Source organism: Homo sapiens, chromosome 20 (assembly GCF_000001405.40).
Source record: "Homo sapiens chromosome 20, GRCh38.p14 Primary Assembly".
Classification (NCBI taxonomy): Eukaryota; Metazoa; Chordata; class Mammalia; order Primates; family Hominidae; genus Homo; species Homo sapiens.
The window spans coordinates 46,668,378-46,682,623 of NC_000020.11; the positions used below are offsets into that span (position 1 = coordinate 46,668,378).

General features: G+C 47.7%; 1 protein-coding gene across 2 annotated transcripts in view, besides 2 other annotated features; it reads right to left on the reverse strand.

Annotated features, from left to right (window-relative positions):
* Nucleotides 1-14,246, reverse strand: part of SLC13A3 (solute carrier family 13 member 3) — a 126,658-nt gene that overhangs the window by 110,550 nt on the left and 1,862 nt on the right. For both annotated transcript variants that reach the window (NM_001193340.2, NM_001011554.3), the window contains exon 2: nt 1,666-1,762. The gene's annotated coding sequence lies outside the window, so the exon portion shown is untranslated. The remainder of the gene's footprint in view (nt 1-1,665; nt 1,763-14,246) is intronic.
* Nucleotides 5,084-5,240: a silencer, noted in NCBI's record as "fragment chr20:45302100-45302256 (GRCh37/hg19 assembly coordinates)". NCBI's record gives its function as "represses an EF-1alpha promoter that drives an FKBP-Casp9 reporter gene in an ReSE screen in phorbol 12-myristate 13-acetate-treated (for megakaryocytic differentiation) K562 erythroleukemia cells {active_cell/tissue: K562(+PMA)}" and the evidence as "EXISTENCE:reporter gene assay evidence [ECO:0000049][PMID:32094911]".
* Nucleotides 6,153-6,667: an enhancer, noted in NCBI's record as "H3K4me1 hESC enhancer chr20:45303169-45303683 (GRCh37/hg19 assembly coordinates)". NCBI's record gives its function as "activates a minimal SCP1, AML or CMV promoter by ChIP-STARR-seq in primed H9 embryonic stem cells {active_cell/tissue: H9 hESC(primed)}" and the evidence as "EXISTENCE:reporter gene assay evidence [ECO:0000049][PMID:30033119]".

The window sequence follows — 14,246 nt, forward strand, 5'->3', positions numbered from 1 at the left end:
AAAGTTTTAGTAGTCTAACATAGAAGATCAAACCAGCCACAACATTCCCAAGCCAAAGCCTAATCCAGAGCAAGACCCTAACTCTCATTAATTCTGTGAAGACTGAGAGAGGTGAGGAAGCTGCAGAAGAAAAGTTTGAAGTTAGCTGAGTTCATGAGTTTAAGGAAAGAAGCCATCTGCATAACATAAAAGTGCAAGTGAAACAGCAAGTGATGATGTAGAAGCTACACCAAGTTAACCAGAAGATCAAGCTAAGGTCATTGATGAAGATGACTACACTGAACAACAGATTTTCAACATAGATGAAATACTCTTCTTTTGGAAGAAGATGCCATCAAGTTGACCTCTGGTTAGGGCATAATGCAGCTGGTAACTCTAAGTTGAAGTTCTGCTCATTTGCCATTCTGAAAATCTGAAGGCCCACAAGAATTATGCTAAATCTAAGCTGCTTATGCGCTATAAATGGAGCAACAAAGTCTAGATGACAGTACATCTGTTTACAGCATGTTTTACTGAATATTTTAAGCCTATTGTTGAGATATACTGTTCAGTAGACTGTGGAAGGGAATTCTTAAAGAACTTCCACAGTCAATGGATGGCTTGACCAACATTAATTTTCATTCCTTACTAGGTATGTTCATTGGACAGATAAGGAAACTGAGACTCAGAGGGATTAAGACATTTGTCCCAGGTCACACAGCTGAAATAGAGCTGAAATCCCAATGATACACACTGCTACTCCCATATCCCCACACAAATACTGAACTCTTTTTCTTGTTGGAGTCATCAGAAGATCAAGAAGTTATTATATGTGTTGAGTGAAGGAATATAACACATGACCTGAAATCCAGAGACACACTTCAGCTAAAGGAGAAATCTTGTGTTCCACCCCCCTCGTGGACCCCCCGCCCTGCTTAACTTCTTTTAAAGACTGTCAGAGAGACAGGTCGAGTCCTTTCATCAAGGCATCCCATACCATTGACTGAGCACTTACTATGCCCCACACACTATGCTAAGTGCTTCCTCAGCTTTTCTCATTTTATTTTTACAACCACCCTTCCAGATGGGTGTGATTACCTTCATTACAGAGGAAGAGACTAAAACTCAGAGATGTGTCTTCTGACTCCAAAGTCTGTGTTGCTAACCCTCAACTAGACTGTTCCCAAGCCTGCCATCATGCTCACCTTAGGGCAAAGTTAGAAAAACCTCAGGTTGATGGGAGCTATTGGCAAGAGACCACATGAGCTGGGTGGGTCTGACCACTGGCACCCAAGGCAAATTAGAGAATGTGACTCAAGGTACTCATAATTTTATTGTACTACTATTTGTATAAATAATAAATACCATTTTTGAGGGGCAATGCCTACAATTTATAAAATTGTTGTCCAAGCACTGTGCTAAGACCATTATACAGACATTTCCTGATTTTTGATGGTTAGACTTAGAATTTTTCAACTTTACAATGGATTTATTGAGAGTATTAAGTGCCTTTTAACTTAGGATATTTTCAACTTACAATGGGTTTATTGAGGGGTAACATCATCGTAAGTTAAGAAGTATCTGTATAGAAATCCATATAAAACTTCATGCTGGCCAGTGTGTAAAGAAAGAAAAAAAATACATGCATACTTAACAATGCAGAAGGATAAATAAAAAATTGATTACCTTGCTTGTCTCCTAGAAGGTGCACTGGGAGGCTTGGGAGGCTGGTGTAGCAGGGACCACCCATATGTAGCTTCCTTTGGACCTTAGTGCCACTTCCCTGGAATACATGAGCAGCTTTAAAAACAATTCTCAGGCTTCCCTACAGTTGGTGTATCTATAGGATTAAGATCTGGCCAATGGGAAGTGAGTAGAAGTTGTTATGTGGGACATTTAGGACCGTGTCTTTAAAGGAGCATACCCTTTTTTCTTTCCTCTCCCTTTTTCCTTCCTGACTCATGGCTTGAGCTCCAGCAGCCATCGTTGATCAGGAAGTGTAAGGGATGTATTGGTGGCCTCCACAGACCCATGCCTCCTGGTATTCACACCCTTGTGTAGTCCCCTCCCACACTGACTCTGGGCTTGGCCATGTAACTTGCTTTGGCCAATGGGACATCAGCAAATGTGATGCAAACAAAGACTTAATAACCACTTGCACATTAGGGCTTGTCTTCTTTAAACACTCCCTCTTGGCAGCCAATGTCACACCATAAAGAAGCATGGACTAGACTACTAAATGATGAAAGACTCCATAGAGAGGGGCCCTGAAAGACAGGAAGCTATTTTGGATGTCTCAGCCCCAGCAGAGCTCCCACTAAATGCAGCCCCCTAAGTGATCTCAGCTGCACCATGTGGAGCAGAAGAACCACCCAACTGAGCCCAGTCAATCATGGAATTATGAGAAATAACAAAATAATGTTGTTGCAACTTGTGAGGTGATTTAATACAGAAACCAACATGAACCAACCTTGAAAATGAAAGGTACACACTAAGGATGGAAAAGCAGAAAGATGGGAGTTGGGATCCTTCATGAATTCATGGAACCACCTCTGTACTTTATTTACAAGGCAGCAGAAAACCTAATATGTTGAGCCTTATGTGTCTATGTTTTCAGTTATGTGTGACTAAAGTTATGTTGGGGACATGAGCAAGCGGAAGACTTATTTGCACATCATACTCTGCTATGAATGTTGGAATGCACTGCCCAGTGCCCCTTTAGGAACAAAAATCTTTATCTGCTTGGAATGCTTCCAGTAGTCAATCCTTGGCTATGAGCCCATTTGATAATTGCCTCAGCAAACAGTGCCACTTTAGCCAAGGTCATGTTTCCTTCCCAGAGTGGCTGACATCCAGTTAGTGACTGAAGCGGGAATACAAGTTCCCAGCCTCCTCACCCCAATTTGGGACAACTTTGAGGGGCCATCCCCCTTCAGAGCACTCATGCAATTGGTCAAGTCCTCTGTGAAGGTTGCATTTCTGCTCAACATCTCCCTTCACCCTATATTTGTTTCCTTCCCTTCCCTTCCATGGGGGTGGATCCCAAAGGCATGTCCTAATAAATTTCCTGCACACTCGTCTCCAAGTCCTTGAAAACCCAGCCTACAACACAGTGTTTTTCAACCCTTTGAATGTTAGAGTATATGTCTGTAATCCTCATTAAAAAAAAAAGATAAATAAGACAGAGTTCATATGTAGAACCAAATCACAGTGTGGGTTCTCTAGGAAACAGGGGGTTAGGAATGCATAAGATTTATTGGGAATAACACCTGTGAAAAGGAAAAGGAACAGGGAGAAGCAGGATTGGGCAGAGGGAGCCACCAGGCAGCATTCAGGCAAGACAAAGTCTCTGCCAGCACAATGGAGAGCCCAGAGCAAAGCTCACCCATTGGAGGAGTCTTGCACCAGGTGGGTAGATACTTGTACCGGCATCTGACTCAACCAGTCTCTGAGCTGAGGGCCTCCCTGAGAAGAGCATTACTTCTACTTGAAAACTGAGGCAGTCCCCAAAAGAGCTAATAATGGCTGGGCAGCAAGTCCCAGTTTGAAGGGGAATCTGAGCTGCACATGTCTATGACTCCCACTAGCTAGAGGGGCTTTTTCATAGTCATCCAATCTGATACACCTGTCCCACTAAACAGGTCAACAAACAGAGGGTCACAGTGTCTGTTCCAATACCATCCAGAGAGTCAGGGTCTGAATTATGGCCAGTTCCCAGTCCAGGGGTCCTTCCACCAGACTTCAAGCCAACTCATGTGAAGAGAAGGAAAGCGTGGCTTTGAGCTTCCCATAGGCAGAGGCCATGCCTGCTCAGACACAGCTGCCTCTCTACTGCCTGGCACATGAGTGGGAAATAAATATGAGATGGGTTGAATTGAATTGATGTGCAAATCCCAACATTTGGTAACCCTCACCAGAAGGCTGGGCTATCAGCATTCCTGGGGTTCCTGGTGCTGCACCGAGCAGTAGTCATTCATACCCAAGCTCTGCTGAGCCCATGGCAACAGGAGTATGGATTTTGGAATCATCTATTCATTTATTCATTCAGCAAACATTTACTGAATTCAAACCTGTGCCAGGCACTGTGCTGAACACTGGGGATCTGACATGAAATGAGGCAGGCAGCATCCCTCCTTCATGCGGCTTCCCATCTAGTGGGGTAGGCAGTTCAAATGCCAGTCCATATGTGGTTATAAAACATAGCCACAAATCCTGTGACACCCTTTCCACTGGGAGGCAGGGCCTATTCCCCCTCCTGATGAACCTAGGTGAGCTTCTGACTGCTTTGACCAACAGCTTACCGTGGAAGTGACCCGATACGGCTTCCAGGGCATGAATAAGGCCACACAGCTTCTGCCTGATTTCTAGAACACTTGTCCTTGGAGACCTGGACTACTGCCCTGAGGCTGTCATGCTGGAGAGGCCATGAGTATCTGCTCTGGTTGACAGCTGAGCCCAGACTTCCAGCCAGCCCTATCAAGGCACAAGACACATGAATGAAGCTGTCTTAGGCCCCCCAGATGAGTTCATCTGAATGGCTGAGTGACCCTGAGTGCATTCCTCGATGCCACGGAGAACAGAAGAATCACCCAGCTGAGCCCCACTCTAATTCTTGCCCCACAAAATCATGATGTATTATTGCATGATTATTGTTTAAGTTTGGGGGATAGTTTGTCAAGCAGCAGATGTTTAACACTGAAACTGTGCACCTGGTGGGCTCATATCACCCCTCTGAGCCTCCATGGCCTTGTGGAAAATGTAGATAATAAAAACAACTACATCATAGGTTTATGATAAGTCTCAGAGAATGAAAAGCCAGGTGCTGTTCTAAGGGCTGTTCCCATTTATTCGTTTAGCACAGGACCAGGTACCTATCAACCCCTAATTACAGGGAAGTATGATTTCTAATTGGGAAATAACACGCTATGTGAGGTATGAATAAATATATTAACTATGGTCATCAGCCCAGTTATGGAGGCTTGCTGTGTGCCAAGCACAGTGCTAGGCATTTACATGAACGATCAGGTCCTGCCTGGTCCTTCAACCCTTCCCCCATTCCCTTCCATTGCTGGGGGCTGTCCTCTTTGCAGCCTTCTTTCTGCTCCTTGAGCATAGCAAGTTCTCTGCTTTTACAAATGCTCAGTCTGCCTGGATCTCCCTGTGCACCCTCCCCAAGCTCCCGCCACCATCACCATGACTGGTTCCTTCTACTCACTCAGTCCTCAGCTCAAATGTCACCTCCTCAGAGGGTCCCCACCCCCGACCTCCTGATCTAAGGAAACGCAGCCTTCCTCAAGTTCACGTCACTCACCCTGTACAAAATCCCCAAATAGCATGATTCGTCGTCTGAAAGTGTTTACCACTAGGTTAAACTCCAGGGGAACAAGGGAGTCCCAATTGCCCCCTGCCACACTCCCAGTGCCTGGAACATGGAGAGGAGCAATAAATATTGAAGGATGAAACACGCTCTACATCATTGGGTCTTACTGTTAGGAATATCAGTCAAAATCATGACTATTGTTCATTCAGCAAGGATTAATTGAGCACCTATTGTATACCAGGCATCATTCTGGGTGCTGGGGATACAACAGTGATCAAATCAGACACCAGTTTTGCTCTCACAGAGTTTTCATTTTAGTAGCTCTGTGATAAGATACATGTGTGAAATACACAGCATGTCACGTGGAACTTAGTGCTATGAAGAAAAATAAGGTAGGCAGTGGGAGAGAGTATGAGGGGAATCTTGGCACCAAATTCCATTCTTCCCTCCACAGAAGGGACTTTCGGTTCCCCTCCCCTCCACCTCCGCACCCTGACCCCCATACCCCGTCAACATCTCTCAGTGTGACATTTTGTTTGAGGTCTCTGCAGCTCCAAGAACAATATTGGCTTTGATGCAGGTCCCAGCAGAGAGCCCTCAGACTGGAGGGGGGATTAGTTCCCCCTTCTTTCCCCTGGAGGGGGAAGTCAAACAGTTTGGCCTTGTGGGGCCTTTCCTCACTATGGGGAAGGGGGCAGGCCTGGGCCTTCCTGGCCTGGATCGTTGACTAACCCTGGGTTCTGGGCCATCCCCTGGCCTCCTCCATCCCAGGCAGAGAGTCAAGGTTTACAAACACGGAGAGGCCTTTGATCGGCAGCAGACCCCCAGTGTTCTGTTTTTTGTTCCAAACCTCAGGCCAGGACTATACTCTGTTTTGCCTCCAGCAGGGGAGACAGTGGGTAGGTGGGGAGTGCGCGCGCGCGCGCGCGTGTGTGTGTGTGTGTGTGTGTGTGTGTGTGTTTGTTTGGAGGAGTGGAAGGAATCAGAGGAAGGCTCACATGGATCCTTGATTTTCTTTCCAACAGGCAGGCTAGGTTTGGAAGAGAGAATTCAATTCAATTCAAAATACCTAAGGAGCACCTACTAAATCCCAGGCACCATGGTAGAAATTAGGGCTAGAGCAGTGAACCAAACAGAGCTCCCTGCCCAGAGCCCCAATTCTAGAGGGGGCCACAGACAGCAAACAAATGAGCAAGTGAATACAGAGGCTGTGGGGGGCCATGATGCGCTTGACAGGAATGAAGCTGGGCAGTCGATGGGGCTGGGATGAGGGTGCTGTGGGGGCTTCCCAGACAAAGTGGCATTTGGTAGAGACCTGAAGGAAATGAGGGAGGCAGCCATGTGGCGATCAGTGGGAAAAGTGTTTCAGGGAAAGGGAACAGCTGCTATGAAGGCCCTGAGATGTGCGCAAGGCTGGCATGTTGGAAGAACAGCAAGGAGCCCAGTGTGGCTGACCCAGGGGAATAGTGGGGAGAGGAACAGCAGAGGGGTCAGAATGGGGAGTGTTGGGGTTGGTGGGGGGAAGTGGAGTGGTTTTCCTTTTTTTCTTTTCTTTTCTTTTTTGTTTTTAGGAGATGGAGTCTCACTCTGTCACCCAGGCTAGAGTGCAGTGGCGCAATCTCATCTCACTGCAACCTCTGCCTCCCAGGTTCAAGCAATTCTCCTGCCTCAGCCTCCCAAGTAGCTGGGACTACAGGCGCATGCTGCCACGCCCAGCTAATTTTTTTTCTTTTTTTTTTTTTTTTTTTCAGTAGAGACAAGGTTTCACCGTGTTGCTCAGGCTGGTCTCGAACTTCTGAGCTCAGGCAATCTGCCCACCTCAGCCTCCCAAAGTGTTAGGATTACAGGCACGAGCAACCATGCCCGGCCCCTTTTTTTTTCTTTCTTTCTTTTTTTTTTTTTAGTTTGTTTAATTTTGTTTTTAACTAAAACTAAACTGTGTCATCCAGGCTGGAGTGCAGTGGTGCAATCACAGCTCACTGCAGCCTTGAACTCCTGGGCCCAGGAGATCCTTCCCGCCTCAGCCTCCCCAGTCGCTGGGACTACAGGCATGCACCACCTTGCCTGGCAGATCTGAACTGAGATTTAATAGAATTCCTGGGCTGTGTGGAAACAGTGGGGACGACGGCAGAAGTGGGGAGAACCATGAGAGGCAACTGCAGGGGTTCAGGCAAAAGATCACATGGCCTACGCCAGGGTGGTCAGGAGGGGGAACGGAGAGTAGTTCCAAATTCATCAGCTTCTTTTCTTTTTTTGAGACAGAGTCTCACCCTGTCCAGGCTGGAGTGCAGTGGCGATCTCGGCTCACTGCAACCTCCACATCCTGGGTTCAAGCGATTCTCCTATCTCAGCCTCCCAAGTAGCTGAGATTACAGGCACCCGCCATCATGCCCGGCTAATTTTTGTGTTTTTAGTAGAGACAGGGTTTCGCCATGTTGGCCAGACTGGTCTTAAACTCCTGACCTCAGGTGATCTACCCACCTCGGCCTTCCAAAGTGCTGGCATTACAGACACAAGCCACCACCTGGCCTCACAGCTTTTTATTGAAGTACCACATAAATACTGAAAAGTACCCATATAAACATGCCTGCAGTTTCATGAAATTTTACAAACCCAATCCACCCACATAACCAGCATCAAGCTCAAGAAATAGAACTTGTCCATCCCCCGAGAAGTCCCCAGAAGCCCCCTCCAAATCACTGCCCCTTCACCAAGGGCAGCCACTCTCTCAACTCTTTTTTTTTTTTTTTTTTTTTTTAGTAGAGACAAGGTTTCACCGTGTTGCCCAGGCTGGTCTCGAACTCCTGAGCTCAGGCAATCCGCCCACCTCAGCCTCCCAAATTGTTAGGATTACAGGCACGAGCCACTGCGCCCGGCCCCTTTTTTTCTTTTCTTTTCTTTTTCTTTAGTTTGTTTAATTTTGTTTTTAACTAAAACTAAACTGTGTCATCCAGGCTGGAGTGCAGTGGTGCAATCACAGCTCACTGCAGCCTTGAACTCCTGGGCCCAGGAGATCCTTCCCGCCTCAGCCTCCCCAGTCGCTGGGACTACAGGCATGCACCACCTTGCCTGGCAGATCTGAACTGAGATTTAATAGAATTCCTGGGCTGCGTGGAAACAGTGGGGACGACGGCAGAAGTGGGGAGAACCATGAGAGGCAACTGCAGGGGTTCAGGCAAAAGATCACATGGCCTACGCCAGGGTGGCCAGGAGGGGGAACGGAGAGTAGTTCCAAATTCATCAGCTTCTTTTCTTTTTTTGAGACAGAGTCTCACCCTGTCCAGGCTGGAGTGCAGTGGCGATCTCGGCTCACTGCAACCCCCATCTCCTGGGTTCAAGCGATTCTCCTGTCTCAGCCTCCCAAGTAGCTGGGATTACAGGCGCCCACCATCATGCCTGGCTAATTTTTGTGTTTTTAGTAGAGACAGGGTTTCGCCATGTTGGCCAGACTGGACTTGAACTCCTGACCTCAGGTGATCCGCCCACCTCGGCATTCCAAAGTGCTGGCATTACAAGCACAAGCCACCACCTGGCCTCACAGCTTTTTATTGAAGTACAACATAAATACTGAAAAGTACACATATAAACATGCCTGCAGTTTCATGAAGTTTTACAAACCCAATCCACCCACATAACCAGCATCAAGCTCAAGAAATAGAACTTGTCCATCCCCCTAGAAGTCCCCAGAAGCCCCCTCCAAATCACTGCCCCTCCCCCAAGGGCAGCCACGCTCCCAACCTTTTAATTATATTTTGAAAGTAAAGCTGGCAGGATCTTTTGCTGGATCGAATGGGGGCGAGGGGAGCTGGTGAAAGACAGGAGTCAAAGAGAGCCCCCAGGTTTGGGGTGAAGTTCTGGATTCCTGGGGCTGCCATTTACTAAGATGGGAAACTTGTGATGGGGGCAGAGACTATGGGTGAAACCAGGGGTTTGTTTTGGGACCTGTTGAGTTTTGGGATGCCCGTGAGGCCCTGGGGAAGATACATGCCATCTTATCTAAAGGTTGCAAATTCAATGCTCTCAGGGACAAGTAACAAGAGGAGTAAGACATATCTCACTCTCCTCTTACCTCTGTAAGAAGAACAACGGGACCAGCGTGATGACAAACAGTGACTCAGAGCCAAAGAGCAATAGGGAGCAGTGGAGACTGGGGCAAATTGGAAAGCACAGGCCCCTCTAAAAGAAGAGGTGTTAGAACAGGGTCCCGTGTGGCAAGATCTCCTGACGATGTTTCCAGAGAAGCCAGATGTCTAGATTTTTACATATGAAACAATCCATATGTATGTTTGAAATTGTTTAACATTGGCATATGAAATTGTTTAACATTGGCAACTAAAAAGCAAACATTATGTGAACCCAAGAAAACTGCCTACAGTTACAGCCACCCACTGGACCTAGATCAAATCTTCCACTTTACAGGTGGAGAAACTGAGGCCCAGGGAAGTCTAGAATTTTCCCCAAACTCACAGAAGGAGTTGGTGGCAGACTTTGGCCAGGCCTTGAATAGGCTGGGTCTCAGTGCCGGGTTCTCACCTCCCAGGCCTTGGTAAGAAGGGGCTGGAGTTAGTCTGTCTCCTTCACTTTGATCTAAATAGAGAGGCTCTAACCTGACAGTAAAAGGCAGCAAGATGCTATGAACAAGTATGGCTTTGGCGGCCTGGGGTCTCTATCTGTGTTGGTTAGGAATGCTTTTGGCTTCAAGTGATGGAAAATCTGATTTATGGTAGCTTCAGCTTTGGAGACGTTTACCTGTGCATATAATAAGTCCAGAAAGTGAGGTCTGAGGTCACTAAGAACAGACTCACACTCTGCCCATCCCTCTACCTCAACATCTTCCTCTCATTGACTCTTTACCATCAGGGGTGGCCTCATGGCCTCCAGATTGCTGCTGAACCTCCGGTTATTGCCATTGCATTGAAAAGCAGACATTGTTGATGGGGATGTGCTGGTGTCAGAGCAGGGAGAGAATTCTTACATCTTCTCACCTTCTAGGAGAAGCAAAATCTTCCACAGAAGCAATCTTCCCAGATTTGCTCTTGTATCTTATTGGCCAGAAAAGGGTCACATGCTGACACGGTTTGGAGGTTTGTCCCCTCCAAATCTCAGGTTGAAATGTGACCTCCAGTGTAGGAGGTGGGGCTGGTGGGAGGTACTGGATCATGGCGGCAGATCCCTCGTGAATGGCTTGGTGCCCTCTCTGTGGTAATCTCTGAGTGAGCCCTGGCTCTGTTAGTTCACAAGACAGCCAGTTGTTTAAAGGAGCCCGGCTCCTCCCCTTCTCTCTCTTGTTCCTGCTTTCACCATGGGACACTGCCTGCTCCCCCTTTGCCTTCCACCATGATCGGAAGCTTCCTGAGGCCCTCACCAGAAGCAGATGCTGGAGCCATGCTTGTACAGCCTGCAGAACTGTAAGCCAATTAAGCCTCTTTTCCCTATAAATTACCCAGCCTCAGGTGTTTCTTTACAGCAATGCAAAAGGCCTAATACACATGCCCATTCCTAATCAGGAACCGATCTGACCTTTCCTGAGATGAAGCTATCTTCGCCTAAAAATATCTAGACTAATTGGGATTCTGTCCAAAAGGAATAAGAAGGGTAGGCCGGGTGCCATGGCTCATGCCTATAATCCCAGCACTTTGGGAGGCCGAGGCAGGCAGATCACTTGAGGTCAGGAGTTCGAGACTAGCCTGGCCAACATGTCAAAATCCTGTCTCTACTAACAAATACAAAAATTGAGACCATCCTGGCTAACACGGTGAAACCCCGTCTCTACTAAAAAATACAAAAATTCGCCGGGCGTGGTGGCGGGCGCCTGTAGTCCCAGCTACTTGAAAGGCTGAGGCAGGAGAATGGCGTGAACCCAGGAGGTGAAGCTTGCAGTGAGCCAAGATCAAGCCACTGCACTCTAGCCTGGGCGACAGAGCGAGACTCCGTCTCAAAAAAAAAAAGGGGGTGGGGGATGGGCTCACGCCTGTAATCCCAGCATTTTGGGAGGCCAAGGCAGGTGGATCATTTGAGGCGGGACTTTGAGACCAGCTTGGCCAATATGGTGATATCCCCGTCTTCACTAAAAATTCAAAAATTAGCTGGGCGTGGTGGTGGGCACCTGTGATCCCAGCTACTGGGGAGGCTGAGGTGGGAGAATTGCTTGAACCTGGGAGGTGGAGGTTGTGATGAGCCGAAATCACACTACTACACTCCAGCCTGAGTGACAGAGTGAGACTCTGTCTCAAAAAAAAAAAAAAAGAGGGTGACTTTTGGTAGGCAATAATGCCTGGCACAATTTCTACCATTTACAGGCTGATGACTCTGGGAAAGTTGCTTAGCACCTCTGAGCCTCTACTCCCCCATCTGTAAAATGGGTATGGCAGATGGTATTTTGTTTCTTGCCCTCTCAGCATCCATTTCCTATTTTTCTGATGACATACTTTGATTTTCCTTCAGGTAGGAGTTTTCAGAACAGCAGCCTCAGCATCACCTGGGAAGTTGTTAGCAATGCAGATTCTCAGGCCAGTCTCAGACCTTTGATTCAGAAGCTTTGGAATGGCAGCCTGGCAAGGTGGGAAAGTGCGTCTTGTCTACCCTTAGCTTATAAGGGGAACAAATGGAGCTGTATTATAATCACCTGTTTGCTGTTCTCTAAAAATAGTAGCCACTTAAATGACATCACGATAATGATATTGCTCATTGTCACCATGTGCCATGCACTGTGGTAGTGCTCCAACTGCTCCACGTACCTCCTTATATGGATGCTTGTGGTGGACATGGATGTGCGACCCAGATCCCTTAAGGAAGCACCTATTGCCCCAGAGGCAGGGAGAGTGGTCAGCAGTCAGCTCCTGTGGTCAGCTCCTCCAGGGATCAACTCACAGTAGGCAGAGAGTGGCCTTGCCAGAGCTCGTGTCCCTTCCAGGCGTGACACCCCCAACGACTGCATAATGTGAGACTGCAAAGTCCTGGCCATCTCAGGCCATCTTGTGACATCTCTGAAGAGCCATTTCAACTGCAGAGCTCCCGCAGAATTGACTGAAGCTGCTGCTGGGTCTCAGCTCCAGTTCTCCCTCTGCCCGCTCCTGTGTACTCTGCCCTCTCCTGTGTCCTCTGCCATCTCCTGTGTCCTCCATGCTGTGGATGTTGATCCCAAGGGCAGCTCAACTGTATCTGAGTCTGCTTCCTGGGGATCCTGACCAGTGACAATACTCACAGCAACTCCACCATGCAGCACCACTGTGAGTCCATTTTACAGATGAGGACACTGAGGCTCAGAGAGGTACAAGGAGGGGATCCTAGGCCATGCACCTGGTAAACAAGGAGACATGGGCTGGGAAGCCAGCACATTTGTGAATAGAGAAGTGGCATGTTCTGGCTTTAAAAGGGTCCCCTGGGCTGCTGAGTAAGGAAGAACGGAAGGGGCCAGGACAAGGGCCTCCCAGGCCGCGGCTGGACCTTGTCATCCCTGCAGCTTCTTCAGAAGAGCCAGACGCAGCCCATGTGCTCACTAAGTACCCAGTGAAGGAGTGAGTGAAGAGAGAATGGATGAAAACATTAAGACTGGAAGGAACTAGACATCCTCACGTCCGTCTCCCTCATTACATGGTGCATAATTAGCACAGTGCCTGCTACACTTAGGTGCTCAGCTAAGGTGGCGTTGAGTGAATAAATGAACACGTTCAAGGAAAGGAGGGAGGGAGAGAGGGGCATGGACTTGGGAAGAAAAGATGGAAGTAGAGGAAGGAGAAGGGGAGAAAAGAAAGGGAGGAAGAAAGAGGGGAAGGAGGGAGGAGGGAGGAGGAAGAGAAGAGAGAAAGTGAAGGGAGGTTTACCTGTTCGCACCAAGAATGACAGTAACTTACGACCCCTGGTGGCAGAAAAGTGCACAGTCCATTGAAATTGCGGTGCCTAGAATTAAAGGACGCAAGGGAAGACTCCTAGTTCCCCAAGAGGTTCAGGCTGCATTCATTTGTTTTCTATTGCTTTTAACAGAATACTTAAAACTGGGTAATTTATAAAGAAAAGGAGTTTATTTCTTACTGTTATGGAGGAATACAAGGTCGAGGGGGCACATCTGGTGGGGGCACAGCCTTCTTGAAGGTGGGGACTCTACAGAGACCTGAGGCGGCACATGGCATCATGTGACAAGGGGGCTGGGTGTGCTAGCTCAGGTCTCTCTTCCTCTTATAAAGCCACCAGTCCTGCTCTCATAATAACCCATTAATCTATTAGTCCACACGTGGATTAATCAATTCATGAGGGCAGAGGCCTTAGGATCCAATCACCTCTTAAAGGCCCCATCTTTCAATACTGCTAAGTTGGGCATTCAGTTTCCAACACATGAAATACGGGGAACACATTCAAACCACAGCAGGTGCAGACCCTTGTAAGAACATGGGCTCCTCCATCAGGGCTCTGGCAGTCAGTGACAGCTGGGTTAGGACTAGGGTGAAGCAAGTGAGGCACAAATTTAAGGAGGCATCCAAAAACTCAATAATCCAAAAAATATCTTAATGGGATGGTTTTAAAAATCAAATTGGCAAACTATCGCCCACGGGCCGACTGTCTGATTTGTAAATAAAGTTTTATTGGAACCAGGGTCAGGAATATGGTGGATTCTTGCAGTTAAATCAGAGATTATGCCCTGCATGCCTTCGCTAATGTAGATGTTCCCAACCCCTAAGGTAGCACGTGGTGTGGGCGTGGTCAGCTCAGCTCATCCAACAATAAGAACACAGCTTGTTTGGAGCACTCACTATGCCAGCTTTAAAGCAACTCTACTCTGGAACTACCTCTCTTGGCCCCATGGACTGGCCACAAAAGCACTTTTAAATGTTCCAGGAATGTGGGCCTGTGTCAAGTGTTGGTCGCATCTCGGTGTCATATCACATTTCCCTGGTTCTGCCATTTACTAACTGAGTGGCCTGGGGCAGGACTTAATTTCTCTGTGTCTCAT